The sequence below is a fragment of the Homo sapiens genome, chromosome 5 (genome assembly GCF_000001405.40).
Source record: "Homo sapiens chromosome 5, GRCh38.p14 Primary Assembly".
NCBI classification, from domain to species: Eukaryota; Metazoa; Chordata; class Mammalia; order Primates; family Hominidae; genus Homo; species Homo sapiens.
Genome location: NC_000005.10, coordinates 120,921,292 through 120,943,489, shown reverse-complemented (window position 1 = coordinate 120,943,489; position 22,198 = coordinate 120,921,292). Strand labels below are relative to the sequence as shown.

At 36.7% G+C, this 22,198-nt stretch overlaps 1 annotated feature.

Moving 5' to 3' along the window:
* Nucleotides 465–1,001: an enhancer, noted in NCBI's record as "OCT4-NANOG hESC enhancer chr5:120278184-120278720 (GRCh37/hg19 assembly coordinates)". NCBI's record gives its function as "activates a minimal SCP1, AML or CMV promoter by ChIP-STARR-seq in primed H9 embryonic stem cells {active_cell/tissue: H9 hESC(primed)}" and the evidence as "EXISTENCE:reporter gene assay evidence [ECO:0000049][PMID:30033119]".

Below are 22,198 nucleotides of genomic sequence, written 5' to 3'. Positions count from 1 at the left end.
AAGAAAAGAGCAATTACTAGTGGAAGACAGAACTTGTAGATATAACTAATATCTAAACGTGGTATCTTTTGCCTGAGAAAAAATGAGTCTCAAATGTAGTAAATACAACATATTCTCACCTACAAGCAAACTTCATGTTAAAGATACACATTTAATTGAACTTTTCGCCTTTAAGATCCAAAGTTTCCCCTTCATTTCCATAGCCACATTCTATTGCAATTGCTGGCACTAAAATCGTTCCATTCTAAGGGTTGTAGTTTAATGATGTTTCATTATAAAATGACATTTATATGTTGAAACACTCTGTTTAGCGGAGTTGTGTGTGCATGTGTTTCTGAGAATTATAACATCTGTGGGAAATCCTGTGTTTTGCAGTGTGTGGTCAACCAAATAGGCACTGCTTCCCAAGAGCAAAACGGTCAAATCTCATAGATAAGATTCTTCAATCTTTATTTCATTCCTCTTTTCAGACTGTTATTTCGAAGTCATGGATCTCCATTAATTAAAAATATTAACAAATTCTTAGGCAATGCCCTCAAGCAAGAGCCTCTTTTGAAGACGGTCCCTCTGAGCTTTATATAACATGAGTCCAGTAAAAGGCCTGAAGAGATATTATGTCTCATGAAATGCTTTTTGGCATCATTTGGAGAGTAATGTTTCTAAGCTGTACTAATAATAGTCTATGCATTATGAAGGAAGGCAGCCTACTATAACAGTTACGTAACCAGCATGCCTGGGGCATGTGCTTTGTAAAGAATGCGCCAATGCCAAGCAAAACAATGAGCCTAATTCTCATGCACATCTGTTGCAGGTCTAAAGAGTTTTTCTCTTGACTTTGTTAAAAGAAGGTAAAAAAAAAAAAAAAAGGTGATTTGCACCTTTTGTAAACTGAAATATTAGGAGGGCGATTTTCAGCCTCCAACTTCAACTTCTTTGAAGTATTCGATGTTACTTGTCCAACTTCCTTCTGCCCTTCTGAAGGCTGGGAGACTGAGCCAGATGTTGGCTCATAAAGGAGCGACTTTGAGTTTTGGCAGTGGAGGGTCTGGAATAAGCAGTTACCACTTGAGAAGAACCGATATGTCAAGATCACTGTGATGAGCAGAGAGTGACATCTGTGATCAAATGACTGAGCTTCAACTCGGCAGGACCTAATTCAAAAGAACTAAATAATATAAAGCAAAAACTACAGAGTGAAGAGTGTAAATATAAGAAGAACAAATTAGAGTAAAATAAGTCAAGAATTAGCTAAGATTGATTCTGAGCAATTTCCCTAAACTTGAACTGGAAACAGTGTCAGGATTCCCAGGTGATATTAGCTGGCCTAAAGGACCCTGTTCTGATTGAACAGCCTCTTCTTTGGCATGTGTTCCCAAGCTTTCCTGTATTTCCCTGGAAAAAAACTGAGATATGTGCAGAGCTCTTAGAGTTATTATGACTGCCTTCCAGACAGTTTAACTTTCCAGATATTGAGACTGGTTTTGGTGCACATGGAGTCCAATATGTTCTCTACTGTGTATTCTTGTTTCCACCATGGGCTATTGAGGATAGATGTGGTGTGGTGGTGTGAAAATACGAAACCATTAGTATTCCAACAGAGTTGCTAAGGAACAGTAAAAAAGATTTAAAGGCCTAAGAAAGGGTGCCAGAAATTTGGTGTGCTATCTATGAAGCATTTGGTTTCTCCTCATAGAATAGGCAGTGTTCTGGATGGAAGTACAGGAATGACAGGGCTTAGACCCTCTGAATTGAGTTTTTATGTTTTTCCAAAGCCTCCTGATGCTTTCAAATCTACCACTGTAAAAAAATGAAAAAGCACATGTTAATCACACAGAATTTCCAAATCACACACACATCTACCATTTTCTCTCTTTTATACACAACTGATCTTGAGACAAGCCTTTGATAAAAAATGGACATGGCTAAGCTAAGCTTAGACTTTTATACTTATAAATTGTCAATAATGGGCCCCACTGCTGGTGGTATTTGGAGTGGTGATAACCCCTTACAGGTAATGGCTTCACAATTATTAAGATTATCCCCAATTTTAAGAATTGTGGAGTAGGGTGGTTTCCATTAATGGAATTGGAAATCTTAACCAAGAAAAAAAAGAAGGTGTTGTGAGGATTCATGTGAGATAATATACAGATATACACAAAGTATCTGGCACATAAAAGTGTTCACTGCATCAAAGATCTTCCTTCTTTACCTACTTTTCAAAAATTCACCTCCTAATATGTCTTCATTCCAGTCTTGTGAAAAAATTACATGCACTACCCTACTTACAATTACTTTGTCTTGTCTATTAAAAATACCTTTTAAAACTGTTAATCCCCTTTCCTTCACCATTATCCCTGGGGCTGGGTGCTAGACTTGTGTTTCTATATCTCAGATCTAATCATGTTACTACTTTCCACTTACTTTAGGAAAAACCAAAAATTCTTTATTATAATTTATGTAAATCATTATACATTTTATTTATATAAATCATTGCCCTTTGTGGAAACAATATGGCTATAGTTAACAAATTATTGAGCTATGACAATCAATCAGTAAGCATTTGCTAAAATTTTCAACTGGGTTTATTTCCAGTTTCCACACATTTTATTTTGGGTAATCTCTCTTAAATACATCCCTTTATCCCCTGTATATTAAAACTGTATTAGGAGTCTCCATATACATATATGTATATGTATGCTACAAACAGAAAGACCCAGAAACAATGTAATAATGTTTTACAGGTTATCTGGGCCTCTCTTAGCCCAGTCAAGTTGACACATGAAATTAACCTTCAAAAACACTCAACGAAGAATTATCATGTCGTGAAAATAAAAGAGATAAAATACATGAAGCATCTAGGACATAATGAGTGCCAGATTAACTTTAGATGTACATGTATTCCTCTCTCCAGCTCTATGTCCTGTCATCGCCCATTCAACTCAAGTTGAGAATTACTTCAGGTTTTCCAGTTCCTAAAATTAAGGTATTGGTGAGGCCGTCCAAGCCTATCTAGTTAATATCTGTACAATAATTGTCTTTGGGTATTGATAATGCTGCCCCTTCTCTCTAAAATATCCTAAATTACTTCTTTACTCAGAAAACGCTTGTATTTTATCTAGGCTAATTCCTCAACTGCTCCATTTAAAAGCAGTATTTCCCTTTCCAAATTTTATAGAACTACTACTTCACTTTGTTATAATACTGATCTCATTGTGAAGCAGTTGCATCTGCCATTGCCACCTGTCATTAGAGTGGATATCTTGGAGGAAAATACCCACTTAATTATTTCTATATTCCCCCAAATCTAAGCAGATTTTGGCTCACATGCTCATACTCAATATATACACAAATCTGACAAAGTTAATGAAAAAGTCCAAATCGGGAAAAAACTTTCAAAGTCTAATTTGGAAAATAAAGTTTTAAACATTTAATGACAAAGATCTATTGAGCTAAAATTTATGGGAAAAACATCAGGTATACTTTATAAAATCATAAAAAAGGAAATTAATCCTACAAAAATGGAGATCATCATATCAAAAGATATGGCAAATAAATTGTTTAATTATGTTATCTAGGTACTAATGAAGTTTTTTTTCCAAGAACCTCATGAAAATTTAGTATTACATAAGACTAAAAAAATTATGAGATGTGAGGCTTAAAACATTATATTTTAAAATATTTATGTTTGTCACTTTCTAACAAGAAAGAGTTACTCTCTCTTGCTATCTTAGTGCCTCGCGTCCGTATATTCACATTACAGTTAACAAGTCTCCTGTGAGAAGAGATAAGAGTAGAAGCAGAAGTCTGAGATTGGGAGTTATTGTCTGTACTGAGTCCCAGTTTAGAAAAAAATAAGGAGAAAAAGCAAAAGTATTAGAAATAGAAAATATCTTCTGAAGAGACAGACATTATTATCCCTTCAAGTTTTGCTTCCACTTGTTCAGCAAACTCCCTTGGCATTTGATAATCATAAAATAAACTCTTAAAATACACACACACACACACACACACACACACTTAACAGTAGAATGAATTCAATGTTTGAATTATTATGTGAGGCTATTAATACAAAGAAATATATGGCAAAAAGGCACTTTGGGAATTCAGTTAAATGCATTCTTATTAAACATTATACAAAGGATCTGACACAGAGAAATTCTATGGGCCTCTTAAATCAATACATGATAAAGGATCTTCCAGATGTAAAGAAAAATTTAGTTCAAAGTAAAGAAAACACATTGCAAGTGCCCCAAGCATTATGCATATAACAAAATATACAAAGACAGACTTCCAGGTTTTTAGATCATTAACTCCTACAAGCCTAGGTAGTTTGTACAATAGTCTATATTGGGCTTTGAACATCACCTCAGACTTCAAGCAATATTTTAAATGCTAAAAATTAAGAGCAGCATTATAAAAAAATGAAATATCCTAAAGTCACACTTCCATAAGCACACAGAGAAACACACACACACAAATTAAACAAAAAATACATAAATTGTAAATTTTCTAATCTGATCCCCTCCAATTCCAGGAGTAACTGGATCAGTTCCATGATTAAAACATAAGGGCAAAGTGGATTAATATGTCATCTTGTGCTTTCAAATTATGATGTGATTGTGGTTTTGCTTAGAGCTCTCTGAGCAAATTACACAGTCTGCACTTTGATATTTATTTAGGAAGTGTTGCCTACATTAAGCAGGTGCTGACCTCTATAACCCTAACAATCTCAGTCATCAGATCTTCCTTGTATATGTTGTTTTGCGTTGTTTTATCAACTAAGAAGTAGGGAGGAGGCTTTTAAAAATCTCCACTGAACTCTATTAGCACCATGTATAGAACTCCCTCTCTCAGACAACAGATCCTTTTCTTTTTTTGTTGTTCTAAGGGATCCTTTTCTGATTGACATTTAATGATCAATTTTCCCTCTAAATCCCCTGCTCAGTAAATAAATCCATTAGCCATAGACATTCACATTCACTATTTCTTGTGTAAACTCATCTCGATGACTTTTTTCAACCCCTAAGCGTTTTGGAAAAGGTACAATTTCTTTGCTTTTTAATAGCTATTAAGGCCCAGGTACATCTGCACCTTCACACACACAAAAAAAATGGCTTAGATCATCCTTTAAACTATATTTGTAAAACTGATAAGCCTTGAGGCCTGTATTCTGAAAAGCATGTAAACTCAGCTCTAGAATGCATACTGTGTATCTGTCCTTTATAAACGTACAAATTAAATTACCTTGGCCTATCTAACCTACTTGTAGAAAAGCATTATCTGTAAAAGTAAAAAAGACAAGCAGCTCTATTTAAGAGAGGCAAGACCTCCTACCACTATTAGACAATCTTATCAATTTTGGGTCATGTGAGGGGCCTGGTGTTCTGCATATCAGTTCAATAATGAAGGAGAGCATACCTATATCACTGCAATATTCACTACAGTAGTTGCATATTGACACTCAGTAAACTGTGCTGTAAGTCCTAAGACATTCTTGACTCTCTTGAATATTTGTAGAGATACAAAATACTGAGGCAAACCTAGTATACCACAGATGTCTGCCCAAACCCTATTTAAACCGGGATTCTGGACAGTTGAGAGAACCAGAATCACACAAGAATAGTTAAGCACTTAGTGATCCTCCATCTCACTCCAGCGTATGCTGAGATGAGATCCCTGAAAGCCTTCCATGTTTTCCAATATCTGATAGTGATGTTTAACTAGAAAAATTGGTTCATAGTGTGGCCAGAATTGGTGGGTTCTTGGTCTCGCTGACTTCAAGAATGAAGCCACGCGGACCCTCGCAGTGAGTGTTACAGTTCTTAAAGATGGTGTGTCCGGAGTTTGTTCCTTCAGATGTTCAAATGTGTCAGGAGTTTTTTCCTTCTGGCGGGTTCGTGGTTTCACTGACTTCAGGAGTGAAGTTGCAGACCTTTGCAGTGACTGTTACAGCACATAAGGAAGGCCTCCTGGACGCAAAGAGTGAGCAGCAGCCAGATTTATTGCAAACAGCAAACGAACTAAACCACCACCGCGTGGTAGGGAACCCCAGCGGATTGTCGATGCGGGTGGCCTGCTTTTATTCCCTTATCTGGCCCCACCCACATCCTACTGATTGGTCAATTTTACAGAGAGCTGATTGGTCAGTTTTGACAGAGCACTGATTGGTATGTTTACAAACCTTTAGCTAGACACAGAGTGCTGATTGGTGCATTTACAAACCTTTAGCTAGACACAGAGTGCTGATTGGTGCGTTTACAAACCTTTAGCTTGACAGAAAAGCTCTCTAAGTCCCCACAGGTCTCAGAAGCCCAGCTGTCTTCACCTCTCACTGGCACTCGCCTGGGGACTTTGCTGCACCTAGCCCAGGCACTCTCCAGCAGCCCAGAGGGAGCTCCTCCCAGACAACCAAGCGGAAAAGAGGCGAAGCCAGAAAGAGACAGAGACCTGCCATCGTGGCCAAGGACCCCACGAAGAGGGAACAGAGGTCCACGCACGGGACCCAACCTCTGATCAAGCCCAGCAGGCACAGGCCTGCCTCGCGGAGTGCAGGCCAGCCGAGCCTGGGCCGCCCATGCCGAGCCCGGGCCTGCCCATCCCGCACCCATCCGGAAACCGCGCCTGCCAGCGAGCACTCCCCGCAGCCCCAGCTCCCGCCCACGCCTCTCCCTCCACACCTCCCCGCAAGCAGAGGGAGCCGGCTCCAGCCTCGGCCAGCCCCAGAGAGGGGCCCCTACAGCGCAGCGGCGGGCTGAAGGGCTCCTCCAGCGCAGGCAGCGTGGACGCCTAGGCCTAGGAGGCGCTGAGAGCGAGCGAGGGCTGCTAGCACGTTGTCACCTCTCAATAGGAATTCTCTAAGGGTATATACAGACTTTTGGTCCAGCTATAAATAACTTTAAAGAGATGTGCCCAAATTCACATAACATTGCAGAACTCTGATAATTCAGTAGTCTCTTGAAATGTCTTTACTTTTCTGGAGCCTGCCAGATTGAAAAACTCACAGGTACTAAGGTCTGAATTTGAATCAAGTGATACATGATCCTGTAGAGAACTTCATGTGTTAAAACATAAGTAGGATGGAGGAGAAACTCTAGTGTGGGTTCTTTGGTCAGTTTTACTATTAAGGTAATGAGCCATGGTCAGGAAAGTGTTGAGGGCACTATGATTTCCTCATTCTTTAAACTGATGGAACCATTTCTATTATAGTCATTAGACGTTTGCAAATCTGCTGTCTTTAGAACATTGCTGGACTGGTTTACTGAGGAGTCTCAACCCTTTGCATAAACATAAAATGGATTGTGTTTTCCTTCTCTTCTTTCAACCTTGCCTTTTGGAACATATTGAAATTCATCCCCCAACCTCCCATGAAATCCTATTTGTGACCAACTCTTTCTAGTTATTTTTGCTCAATAGAATGTAGTGCAATCTGTATAAAACTTCTCAATTCACATGCAAGCAAAAGCTCTGCAACATTCATGCTCCCTTTTATAGAAACTTGCTTTTCTTGGTGGTTGAGAACAGGAAGAATTAAAAAGGGCAAAAGTCTCTACTTGGTTGCTGATCACTGCTCTTTGGAAGCTGCTTCCTCTTAAGCCATATCCTCTCTGCAGCCAGCAATCAAACATTTTTTCTCTTGCAGGATGCACTATTGGCTTTTCTGGAATGCCCCAGGAGGCCTCAGATCTATACAATTTCCTGACGTGAGTTATCTGGACTCAGATCTTCCTCTTCCATTTGTAGCTGTCCATAGACAGCCCCTCACTGCTGTAGGTTGTTTGCCCAGTGAGCAGCCTTCTTGGGTGGGATACTGGTAATATAACCAATCTGAGTTTTTTTTTTATGATATCGACTGCTCAAAGAATATGCTGCTCATATCCTTGACTCAAATAGCAGCAACGAAGTCTGATCTGTAGCCACATCCCCTTCCATCTCTCTTCATTACCTTTTTTTGGTGCCACTTGAAGATGGGTCAAATCTAAACATATATATATATTATATATATAACATATGATATATGACATGTCACATATATGTCTGTCTCTACTAAAAGGAGATATGTCACATATAATGTCACATATATAACATATACCTCACATATATAACATATATCTCACATATACAACATATACGTCACATATGCAACCTATACGTCACATATATAACATATATGTCACACATATATGTTGTTATTTTTTAAGATGGAGTCTTGCTGTTGTTGTCCAGGCTGGAGTGCAGTGGCACAATCTCGGCTCACTGCAATCTCTGCCTCTCAGGTTCAAGCAATTCTCCTGCCTCAGCCTCCTGAGTAGCTGGGATTACAGGTGCCTGCCACCACGCCTAGCTAATTTTTGTACTTGAAGTAGAGACAGGGATTTGCCATGTTGGCCAGGCTGGTCTCAAACACCTGATCTCAGTTGATCCGCCCTCCTTGGCCTCTCAAAGTGCTGGGATTACAGGAGTGAGCCACCACGCCCAGCCCTAAGCATATTTTTAAAGGGGAATTGCATCCTAATTTCCTCTTCTTATCGACCCTCCCCAAATGTTTACAACTATTTTTTCTAACGTTTTATTTTTTCACTTGGCTTCAAAGAAGGGAAAACCAAGTCCCGTCTTCTTGATTGGAGGAAAAAGTACTTTAGCAATAATCCTCGAGTCAATCCACAAGACTCAAGAAGCTTTCCTCAAGTCCTTTTCTCTGCAATTCAAGTTCTTTCTGTAAACTAGTAGAACGGGTGGAGTAGTGCTGAACTCCAGGAGGAACTTTCGACTGTCTTTAAGAACCTGCACAGAAGTCTTTAACCCCAGTTTCTGACTGCTATGACCTCTTTAGAGTGAAAGACTTGTTTTCACTTGTGGATCCTGATAGCCAATTGTAGGTATCTAGAAGACTCTCCAAAATCCAGTTACATAGGTCTTAAGCAGAAGGACCTTACCACCTCCGCCATGGCTACACCCCATTATTAACCTCACCAGTGAGGAGTTCTGTCTTCCTCTTCATGGTAGCCAAGCAGTACAGAAAAATCCCCAGTCTGATTTAAAATTAACATTTGTATCAGTGAAGGTAATGCATATATTTTGTTCCACTTAATTAAAATCAGATTAACAATGTTTCCAGCTTATTAAAACTTTTTGTGCTTTATTCCCCTGGTAGCAATAGCCACAAGAGTCCCAATGGCACAGAAAAACGATCTTGGGTCTAGAGATCATGCAGTGAATCTTGGCATTGGGCCTTTGCCCATAAAGCTGGTCATTTTGCTCTGTTTTATGTTTTACACCTGCACATTACAAAGATCTACTTGTAATGGGTTGGACTGATGACCCCTTCTCCCTGTTATAAAGAAAGGAATCTGGTTTTAAATACCACATTTATCTCAGATGGCTCAAACAGAGCCATTCAGTGCTTATGTGGTGGCACTTTATAATAAAAGCAATCATAGGAATGAATAAAAATTGTTCTTAACACAATAATGAGGTTTTTTTCAATAAGCAGAATCAAAGATATAAATATAGAAAGCATTTGTGTTTTTCAAGTAATACTATTGTATCTTGAAAAAGTAGGGCAAAGAACCATAAGAACTGCAATGAGGAAATATCTTAAGAGGAAAGTGGTTGCAAATTATACTGATGGAAAGAAGGTCCTGGAGATAGAGCCTCCAACATATATTACCAAGTAAACCCCTTAGTCCAGCTTCGTCGATCTCACAAAAGAGCCGTAAGATATTGCTGTTCCCATTTTGCAATAGCATACTAGCTTTCCTGTGTGTGTGTGTTTGTGAGAGTTACTTTTTTCCTAATTGTCACCAAGAAAACCTTATGAACAGCCTTAGTAAAGCCTGTGCTAAAGAAAGCCTAATTCTGCAGGTCACAAGAAAGGAAAGGGTCTCAGATTCCCTCAGGAAATAGGGAGGGGTAGAGTTTCCTGAGGAGGGAGTTTTTGTTTTTATTTTAGCATTTTTATTCTGTTTTAAAAATTGTGTTTTAATTGACTAAGTAGTGTATGTATTCATCATATACAACATACTGTTTTGAAATATGTATACATCGTGGGATGTCTACATTGAGCTAATTAACTTACGTATTACCTCACATACTTGTCATTTCCTCTGGTGAGAACACTTAACATCTACTTTCTTAGCAAATTGCAATAATAAATATATTGTTATTAACTGTAGTCCTCATGTTGTACAATAGAACTCTAAATTTATTTGTCCTATCTAACTAAAATTTTATATCCTTTGGCCAACATCTCCCCAACCCTGAATATCTCCCCAACCCCGAACATCTCCCCAACCCCGACTGCCCCTGGCTCAGTTTCAGATAACACCATTTTACCCTCCGCTTCTAGGGGTTCAACATTTTTAGATTCCACACATAAGTGAGATCATGTGGTATTTGTCTTTCTGTGCTGGGGTTATTTCACACAATGTCCTCCAAGTTCATACATGTCGCTGCAAAGAAAAGAGATTTTTGATGCTTGAAAGATGAGCATAAGAAGGATATAAGGGAAACTGGAAGAAATAGTGTGTGGTTGTGAGGGACATAATTGGTCACACTTTCCAAAGGCATAAACTCTTGGTGTTCCTTCCACCACCTCTGACTCTTTCTGAAGCACATGGAGATGAGCTAATTATTTTTGTCCCAACTTGTAATTCTTTGTGTGGCTTTGGGATGTTGACTCAACTGTTCACCTAAAAACATCAAGACATACATTAAGCATCTTGCTGAGTTAGAGTCTCTTCTCTCAGCAGAAGCTGAGGAAGAGAGAGTACCTGTCTCTAGTCACCAGGTGAGGGCATATCCTCACAAAGCAGAGGAACAGTGTCTCTCCTCCTCATCTGCATTCCTAGGTGTCAAACACAACAGCAAACACTCCCCAGGTATGGGACAACAGATCACTTGTCTTTGTCTTCTTTTCATATCCTACCTGAGGGCATTCTATTCTGGGAAAGAAAGGATAAGTCCTAACACCAACCCTCTACAGTACTAAAAATAAAACATTGAGAAAAGATTTGGAAAAGGTTATGTTTTCTTTAAGTTACTAAATATAATAAATAAAGCAACCAAGATACACCATCCAGCATATAACTCATCTGACAAGGAGTAGAATCCTCTCTCTGCTTCTTTAATCTTTCCCTTGCTACTGGTTCTTTCCCCAGCATGCGCAGAGCTCGTGTCTCTCCCACTCTGGGTCTTCTGGCTATGTTTGTCTGCCTAACTCTATTTTGCTTGTACTCTGTGCATTTTCTTCTAGGTTTCTTGAAATGATAATCCACATTCCACATTTATCTCCTTTAATCTCTCTTCATTTGGTTGAAAACCCACTATAATCTGGCACCTTCACCTTTCCTGAGTTGCTCTTCTAGCCATGGTCGTCACAGACCTCAATATTATCAAATCTGACAAATATTTTCTGAATTTTATATTTTGTACATACTTTGACTATTATCAAAATTCTCTTAAGTCCAGAGCATCCCAGATTTTTCCTCCTTTTCTGGATAGACAGTGCCAGTGTCCTTTGTGTTTGCTGTGTTCACACTGGGAGCCCAGAGTAGGTCCCCGTCCTGTGGTCTTTGCTCCATAACCACACCCAGCTCAGAGTTTTAACTCAACCACATTTATGCCGATGACTCTTCTAAGTCCTAATATGCCCATTCCACCATCACTGGACTAACTCATCTGAAATATCCTAAGAGACCACACATCAACCAATGTTCAAATTTTTCATTGTTCAGAAAAAATCTTCCTCTCTTCAGTATTCTTGCATGGTCTCTGGTTTACTTCTTATCTTCAACAATGCCACAAATATTTTTAATGCATGAATTCATAATGTTTAATAAAAATCAGAAATAGCCGTCTCAATCATATGATGAAAGTGATTCACACTTTCACTCCAAACAATCAAGTTAATTGAGTATACAACTCCAACAGTTAAAAACTTAAAATCATTCACCATTTTCCTTCCTATTTGAAGCTTTTTTTGTCTCTTTTGTTTCTCTGCCACACCATAATCCATAGACAGCTTGAAATGAAAAATTGTTGTCTGTGTTTCCTACCATATTTACTATATAAAAAGTATCAAGCCGATCACATTGAAATATGTTTATTTGTGTACATGTAATTTTTTACTATAATTTGAGCTTCCTAAAGGCAAAAACTATACCTATATAGTTTTTATTTTATCTGTTTCTGGCATAGTTGACACTTAATATTAAATATTTCTGACAAAAAATAAAATCCATTAGATGTTTTCAATGTAGGATTTTCTTCTTGCTTTAACTTTTACATAAGACTTTATTAGATGATGTAATATACCCTTTGAAACATCTCTTTAATTTTAACTAAATGATCCACTATGCTTACAATAGGGACAGGTAAATAGTAACTGCTTCTGCTTAAAGAAAGCACCATAAAGAAAGATGCTGTCATCTCAGCAGTTTGAGAGGCTGAGGTGGGCAGATTGCTTGAGGCCAGGAGTTTGAGACCAGCCTTGCCAACATGGCGAAACCCCATCTCTACTAAAAATACAGAAAGTAGTCAGGTGTGGTGGCACATGCCTGTAGTCCCAGCTACTTGGAGGATGAGGTAGGAGAATTGCTTGAACCTGGGAGACGGGGGTTGTAGTGAGCCAAGATCACGCCAGTCTGAGTGACAGAGCAAGACTTTTTCAAAAAAAAAAAAAAAAGAAGAAGAAAGAAAAAAAAACCCACCATAATTAATGAATGATAGTCCATAAAACTGTAGTAAATTTACTGCTATTCAATTTGAGACATGTGGATGGAAATCTCAATGATTTGGAGAGTTTTTTCAATTATAATTATACACCACAGACTCAGATTCTTCCAGGCACTAGTTTTCATAGCCCTCCAAAAATCTTTGCCAGAAGGGCTACATTGCTGCTAATTGGATGGTGTCCTATCTTTCAGCTGAATTACAGTAAAAAATTGTCAGAGGAAAAAAAAGTTGGAATCACAATCAAACACTATTTTCTCCATCTCTAAAAAATGGAATGAAGCATATTAGCTATTTTAGAGGAATGTTCCAAAAACGAATGGTCACTGAAAATGTTATTAAACCTTCTATAATTTTCAGAGCATTTTTATGTAATAAGATTACATGTATATAATTATATCATAATTCCTAATTCAGTTTTGAGATTTTGGACTAGAATAATGACAACTTTTAATTAAATGGATCACAATATCATTACTCAATCAGTCTTCTGTACATTGATCTAGGCAAAGAATTTATGACTAAGACTTCAAAAGCACAAGCAACAAAAAACGAAAATAGATGAATGAGAGTTAATTAAACTAAAAATCTTCTGCATAGCAAAAGACTTTACCAACAGAGTGACAGACAATCTACAAGATAGGGAAAAATATTTGTACCCTATGGTTCTAGAGGGGACTGATATCTAGGGTTTACAAGGATCTCAAACAATTCAACAGCAGCAACAAAAGCAGATAACCCATTATAAAGTGGACAAATAATATTAACAGACTTTCTTTAAAAAAAGACATACAAATGGCCACTAAGCGTAGGAAAGCAATGCTCAACATCACTAGTTATCAAAGAAATGTGAATTAAAACCACAATTAGATATCATTTTACACCATTATGAAAAAGACAAAAAAAAAAAACAGATGTTGGCAAGCGTGCAGAGAAAAGGAAATGCTTATACATCATTGGTGGGAATGTAAATTAATACAGCCTCTATGGAAAACAGTATGAAGATTTGTCAAAGAACTAAACATAGAGCAATCTCTATGTTAGTTCAATCCAGCAATCTCACTATTGGGTACCTACCCAAAGGAAAAGAAATCACTATATTAAAAATATAGCCGCACTCATGTTTACTGCAGCACTATTCACAATAGCAAAGATATGGAATTAACCTAAGTGTCTATCAAAGTATAATTGGATTAAAAATGTGTAATAAGATAGATGATAGATAGATACATAGATACATGTGGTGTGTGTGCGTATACATACGTGTGTGTGTGTATATATATATATATATATATATACACACACACCTCATACACAATGGTAAATGAAATAATTCAGAAACAGAAAGTCAGATGTTGCATGTTCTCACTTGTAAGTTGGAGCTAAATAATGTGTACACCTGGCCTAGAATGTGGGATAATAGACATTGAAGACTGGGAAGGGTGGGTGGTAGGATAGGGATGAGAAATTACTTACTGGGTACAATGTACATTATTTGAGTGATGGATACGTTAATAGCCCAGCCTTAACCACTATGCAATATATCCATGTAACAAAATTGCACTTGTAACCCTTAGATTTATGCCAAAAATCTTCTGTAGTTATTTCAAATCAAATTTCAGACCTTAAAAAGATCTCTGCCTAAATGAGTTCTACTTTTAAATCTTCTAAAGAAAATCAAGTTAATTACATAGAAATCTGAAGAGTTGGTCATTAATCCATGATTTCTATGATGAATATATAAAACTGAAAGATGATCTATTGGGTGATGTGGCTTCAATGGTTTTATAGTCTGAAAAGTTTTATTTATATAAAAATTTATATTTGTATAAAAACATTGTTACCTAGAGAGTAAAAAGCTTAATTTGTTGTAGTCAACAACTTGAAAATTATTGTGTCAATGATACAGTAATTTCACAATTTTAACTATAATTTTTTTTTAAAGGATAGGAAAAATAAACTCCAGGAGCATCCGGAGTCTCTTGGACCACACATAAACTCCAGGAGATTCTTGAACAAATGGCGCATAAATTATTTGTTATACAAAAAAACAAAAATAGAAAAGGAAAGAAAGGAAAGTCAATACGTTGTTTGGTAAATAAAACTAAAATTCTATTACTCCAAAAATATATGTTTCACACTATTAAAAATATTTATATCCTCAGAATTCACCTGCCAAAATCATGATAATTCACTGATAGAATTTATTTTTCAAAATTTGTTTCTCAGAATACATATAGGTCTAATTCCCTTGCATTTAAAATGTAAAAGCAATTCCTCCATAGAAACAGTAACTTAAAAGATAAGTAAAAGATATAAAAGGCATAGCTTTATAAAAATTCCTTTATATCTGGTAAGAATTTATCTTGACATGAATTTGGCTGCCAGATTTTCATTTCCTACTGTCTAGACAGCCAGTCTAAATACTACACTCTAAAACCTCCCTGGAGCATAATTCCCCCAAAGACTGCTTAAAGCTCCTAGTAGAGGGAACTACTCTAGAAACTCCCATTTTATTACTTTCCTATGGTACAGTTTATGTCCAGAAAAATAGAATACAGACTTCCTTAGAAGGGGGGAAAAAAACACTCAGTCATTGTTTAACTTGTAAAATCAATAAGACCTTAACAATCAATCACCCACTCAGTCCACAATCCTCCTGGTGGCTTTTAAGCTGTGTTCAGCAGTCAGGCTGAGCAGTTTTTAAAAGAGAAAAACTATTTTCATGAAACAGACAATATGTAAAATGTTTCCTGAGAGAAAAAGAAACCCCAGGAGTTAAAATGAATGCTCTCTATAGATAATTATAACACTCGATTTCTAGACAGATGTTTTGTGAAAAAAAGAGAGAATAAAATAAAATAACTTTGTCTCTAACATCATAGGGAGCAGTGAATCATAATCACTTTAAAATCCAAACAAGAAAAAAGGGGTTAAATCTGAGAATAACTATAAGACTTGGAGAAAGTCAGCCAAATTCAAGCAAGATATCCATAGGGGTGCTTAAAGTAAGAATATAATTTAGCAGTCAGGTACGGAAATTAATCTAAGATCAAAAGTCAATAAAAGACAATGAGGCAGAAGGATGGCAAGGAATACAGGAAATGGACACTATCAAGAAACATTCAGAGAAGAGCAGAAAGATACTAAAATATGTGAGTACTAGTTTGACACAAGAAAAGCTGTATTAAAGAATATATGGAAATTATTATTTTGTATTGGCCTCCTGATATGGTTTGGCTCTGTGTCTCCATCCAAGTCTCATCTGGAATTGTAATCCCCACGTGTGGAGCGAGGGACTTGGTAGGAGATGGTTGGATAATGGGGCAGTTCCCCCATGCTCTTCTTCTGATAATTAGTGAATTCTCACGAGATCTGATGGTTTAAAAGTAGCACTTCCTTCTTTACTCTCTCTTTTTCCTGCCGTCATATGAAGAAGGTCCTTGCTTCCCCTTTGCCTTCCACCATGATTGTAAGTTTCTTCACAAATTACTCAGTCTCAGATATTTCTTTATAGCAGTGTGAAAATAGACTAATACTCCTCCCTACAAAATTGTGATATTCTTACATTGAACAATTTTTAAATAAATTGTTATAAACTGCAGTTCCTGGAACATAACAATATATTCAGAAAAAAAAGTTTATAGAAGATATGGAATGGGGCCGGGCACAGTGGCTCACGCCTGTAACCCCAGCAGTTTGGGAGGCCGAGGCGGTTGGATCACCTGAGGTCAGGAGTTCGACATTAGCCTGACCAACATGGTGAAACCCCATCTCTACTAAATACAAAAAATTAGCCAGGCGTGGTGGCACATGCCTGTAATGCCAGCTACCTGGGAGGCTGAGGCAGGAGAATCGCTTGAACCCGGGAGGTGGAGGTTGCAGTGAGCCAAGATTGTGCCATTGGAATCCAGCCTGGGCACCAAGAGCAAAACTCCGTCTCAGAAAAAAAGAAGTTATGGAATGGAAGGAGACAAGAATGGCAGATATATGCACCAAAGTAGTTCTTGAATAATACCTGGCTCCTCTTACTTGTTAATGTCTAGAACTTACAAATAAACCTTAGCCTGCAGCTGAAGAGAGAAGTAGGTATGTAAAAGTTTATAGCAAGAGAAACAGGATCAGCAACTTACAGCTGGCAGATTGTGACATAAGTTTTTCCATAGAGGGATCTCAGGAAAATAATGACTAAATATCACATTCAAAAGGAACTGAAAATCTAAACATTCAATTATGAGTATCACATTCCTAAATGTGTCTTCTTATTTACATTAGATTAATATGTTCTATTTTTTCCTACATTTTTCTTCATTTATGCTTTAAACATAGGATGGCTTTTTTTTTCCTACAAAGAGCCAGAAAGTAAATATTCTGGGCTTTCAGATAGCATATAGTTTTTCTTACATATATATTTTTTCAGGTGTGTGCATATGTAATGTTTTAAAAATGTGAAAACAACTCTTATCTAGAGGGCTGAAAAGAAACATGCCACAGGCCGTAGTTTACCAACCCCTGTTTCAGAATAAATTGCTTTTTGACATCATTGGGATCTCATCAATTGCTGTTGATCATAAATATATCAAAGGCAAACACAATCAAACAATAATTGGGTATGTGAGCATTCAGTTTGCTTCCTTCTCTCATTTCACCCACATACATATGATGTTAATATTCAAAATCTTGTGCATCTATTAAGCTGGCAAAGAGTAAGGATTGACATGCTGATGTGTCAGTGGTTTTCTTGAGTTCTGGGCTTGGTTTGTACATATTTGTAAGTTAATGGAAAGCAAAAATATTTAGCTAAGCTTGGAAATACAACTATGTTGTATTTGCAGGCATGTTTTATGCTAAATGGAGATGTTTAATTTACATAAGTTTCTGATAAGTTGAAATTCAATATGACCCAAATAAATGTCAGTATAGATATTGTACGATAACACCCCCTTTTTTTTTAAGAAACCAAACCACACACATGATTTTTAAAATTTTCATTGAAGGCATGTTTGGAAAGGCTAATGACAATATTTTCAACGTTTATTTCCATAAAGCACAAATATTTAAAACTGCCTTATCTATCCTCATTTTATTAGGGGGAATGTGTTAGGATTATTATTCATGTATTCAGCAGATGTTTATTGAACAGCTAACTTGTCTACTTAGAATATAATGAGGAACAAGATAGACATGGTCCTTACCATGATAGAGTCTATTTCCTATAAGATTGAGAGGTGATTTTTAAAAAGAAAAAGAAAAAGTAAGGTATAGTCTATGAAAAGTGAAAGATGTAAGCATAACAATCTGGATAAATGTCATAGCCTCTAGAAAGAAGTAATATTAAAGCTTAGAACTAAATATGGAAGAAAAAGAAAAAATTTAAAGAAATGTGGACAAGCATTCCAAGCCTGAAGAGGATCAGTAAAAAAGCATCACACAAAAACAGTTTAGTGTGTTAAAGGAATTATTATGAGGTCAGTTGTCTGAGGTAGTGAACAAGCGGCATGAAATAAAACTGAGGAAGAAACTGAGATTAAGACTCACACTGCTACTCGGAGAGAAGACTGGAGGAGGAAACAGTAGAAGCAGAAAGACCAGTGAAGAACGAATATGCCCCCTTCCCTCTGTGAAGAATCTATATATTTTCCAGGTGATAGATGACAATGGTTCAGAATAAGTTAGTGGCACAAGGATGGAAAGGGATGAATGGACACGGAGATGTGGGGCAAGGGGAAGGTTGAGGCCACAGTCTATTTTCATATCTGTGGGAATTATGCAATAGATAGAGAAAAATTAATTACGCAAAAGCAAGAAGACATAACTAAAAATTCAAAGTTCTTTCGAACTCAATTATATTTTATTTAACATATTTTAAATAATAAAAATAATGGGGGAAATTTGTTTAAACTCATAGAAAAATTTAAAATGGAATTTAAAATGTAACTATGAACTCTTCCCTATGTTCAAGTTTAAACTCATTAAAGATAAATATTTGTCACATGCCAGCCTATCTGCTAGATACTGAGATTAAAAATATATATAAATCTTGACATTTATGAGCTTATATTTCAGGTACTACTTTTCTTTGGTAAACATATTTAAGAGTATTTCATATTTTTTCTTTCTATTTTCTGTTGTATCTTAACCAAGCAAATCAATGAGATGCTTTAAGACTTCACAAGGACTCTGCCTCTGCCTCTTGCTTTTCTTCCTCTCCCTTTCCCTTCCTAAATAATTGATTTGTCAAACCATTAAGTGAAGCAGAGCAGTGTATATCTGCATTGGGGATGGGAAATCTCTGGGTCCAGAGTAGGGTGTTGAAGCCCAAGCAGGGTGATGAGGATATCTACATAGAAACATGGGTGTGGCTGGACAGTTTTGTATGGGGAGTCAGGGCTAGAGCAAGCTGAGGTGGGTATGCATACATTGGGGTGGTCCTGTGCAGGGGGTTGGATCTCAAGCAGGATGTGGAGGAAATGCATCATCCTGCTGCAGGGTTTGGCGTCCAAGTAGGATGAGAAAGGTGTCCATGAAGGCACCTTATGTATGGAGTAAAAGCTCAATCAAGGTAAGGATGGCATCTGTAAAAGAGTCAGCCCAGCATGGGTTATCAGAGTTGCAGCAGGGTGAGGAAGGAATCTATGCATGGGAGCAGACAGGTGTAGAGGTTTGGAGCTCATATATGGCAAGGAGAACATCCATGTGGGCAAGCACTCTACTATGAGAGACTGGAGCTTGAGTGGAGTGGGGAAGGCATCCATGAGGCAACATGCCCCAGTGCCATAGAAGCCGAAGCCATGAAGAGGATCTAGTTAGAGTGGGGTTCAGAGGGCATCTACCTGGTGGAGGAGTGGTCATGGAGATGGGAGATTTGTTACTCTCAATCTCCCAGAGGAATCAATTGACTAAATATATATAAAGTGTAATGGGAGCTAGGATTCTCACTATCAAAGAAGGAATGGAAAGGAAAAACTGGAATGCATGCTGAGGTGTTGAATTGGAATTAGAAGTGTCATTGTGAGCCAGGTATGGTGGCTCATGCCCACAATCCCAGCTATTCTGGAGACTGAGGCAGGAGGATTGCTTGAACTCAGGAGTTCAAGGCTGCCATGAGCTATGATTGTGCTGCTGCACTCCAGCCTGGGCCAAAGAGTGAGACACTATACCAAAAAATAAATAAATAAATAAATAAATAATAAAGAAATATTATTGTGAATTTATACTACATAATACTTATAGATAAAAATATAATACAGTGTATATCAATATATATAAGATAATACTATATATATAAAATATTTTCTGTAGCTCTGTCTACTGAGAGGGCCTGGGAGTAGCAACACCCCAATGGCAATAAGCATATGTAGTATATAAATTGTGGCTTCTGAACACAGTCTTCTCTAACAGAAACTAGGGTTCCTTGGAGATTCAGTGAATTCCAGTGCTGGGGCAGGAAAAGTACAGAATAAACCTGGAACTTACTGCTGGGCCGGAAACTAAGAAAAGCTGAAAGTAAGGTGGAGACGTGCTAAAAGAATACAGAAACCAGCTTCAAGAGGCTCCCACTTCTCAGGCCAGCAACCATATGAGTAGCATTAAAAGCAAACAAAACAAAGTGTTAGCACTAGATTATAAATTGGCTAACAAAATAAGAAACCATAATCTATATAGATATAAGCTAACAAATACATGAAAGTATATCAATTTAAAGCTTTAAAACGGAAGAGGTATCTATATAGTTTTAAAGTATCTTCCATAAAATTCATATTGTTTTGAAAGTAGAAAAGAGACTCTTTTAAATGGAGGAGTCAGGCAGATACACGTTTAATTAAAAATCAAGTACTATTATTTTCATTAGTAGGACAAATCAAAATTATGCATCACCTGATAGGTTGGACTGGTGAAAACAAAGTGTCACTTTTGTGGTATTTCTGCCAAAGGTGCATAAAATGAATCTAATCATGAGAAAATATCAGAAAGAACAAAATTGGAAGACATTCTAAGGAAGAACAAACAACAAATGAACAACAAACTAGCCTGTAATATTTTAAAATGTGAAAAATATGAAAGTCAAAGAAATGCTAAGAAACCCTTTCAGACTGAGGAAACTAAAGACACATTACAACTAAATGCAATGCTTGATTCTAAACTGGATCATTTTGAATTAAGAGATTTTTATTAAAACTATTGGTGAAACTTGAATGGGGTCTATGGATTGGATTATAGTAATGAATCAATGTAAATTTCCCTGATTTGGGTTGTTATATTGTGCCTGCATACGTATATTCTAAGACATCGGGCATTAGATCAGTAGTTACTTTCTAGTGGTTATAAAAACAAACATTCTTCTACAATATTTAAAACATTTCTGTAATTTGAAATTGTTTCAAAATTTAAAATTAAAATACAATTTTTTAAAATTAAAAATACAAATCTACTTTGCTTTAATAATGGTCTCTGTTCATTTATTCAGTTAATTCATGTATTCATTTACTTTCATTTAGTCATGCAGAAATTTGTGTTAAAACTATTCTGTGACAGGCTTAGCATGAGAAGTTCAAACATTTGATATCCATGTTTCATTTAATCATAACATCCTTGCAGCGTATGAATAGTTACTCTAATTTGTACACAGAAATAATGTTTGGCTAGTTGTGAAAAAACCCACATACAATATAGGAGAGCCTGAGTTCAATTCCAAGCCTTATAGATTCCAGTCAGAACCTAATATTTAACTCAATGAAAGACATTTTAGATAAGTCATGTATCCTTTTGATTAAGTAGTCAATTAACAAATAATTGTGGTATAATTTAAACTCACCTTAAAACCACAGTATCATTTTTCTACCTTACTATTACTGTTTTACAATAACTTCTAACAAGGAAAGAGAAATAACAGGTGAAAATATAATTAGGAAAAGACATGAAGGAAACAAATGTATATTACACAGTGAAAAAAGCCAACCTGGAAAAATTACATACAGTACAATTTCAACTGTATGACATTCTAGAAAAGGCAAAACTATGGAGACAATAGAATGATGAGTGATTGCCAGGGGTTGGGGAGAGGCAGAGATGAATAGGCAAGCACACAGGATTTTAAGGCAGTGAAACTATTTTGTGTGACACTATAATAGTGGGTACATGTCATTGTACCTTTGTACAAACCCATGTAGTGCACAACACCAAGAATGAATGAATGTGATTGAAGAATTTTTGAAATTTTTATCACATGCAGTTTGTGCAATGAAATTATTGAACATCACCTAATATCAATATGATTATATATATATATCATACACATATATACTACCACACATATGTGTTTCATGATTTATTTTTACACATGTGTATGTATACCCACATGTTGTAGGTATATACATACACAGTAAAGAGAGAAAACATACCCAATAAAGTTTTGCTTTATAATGAGTTTGGTTCCACAATGAAGAGTCAAAGGCTCTTGGAAATACTT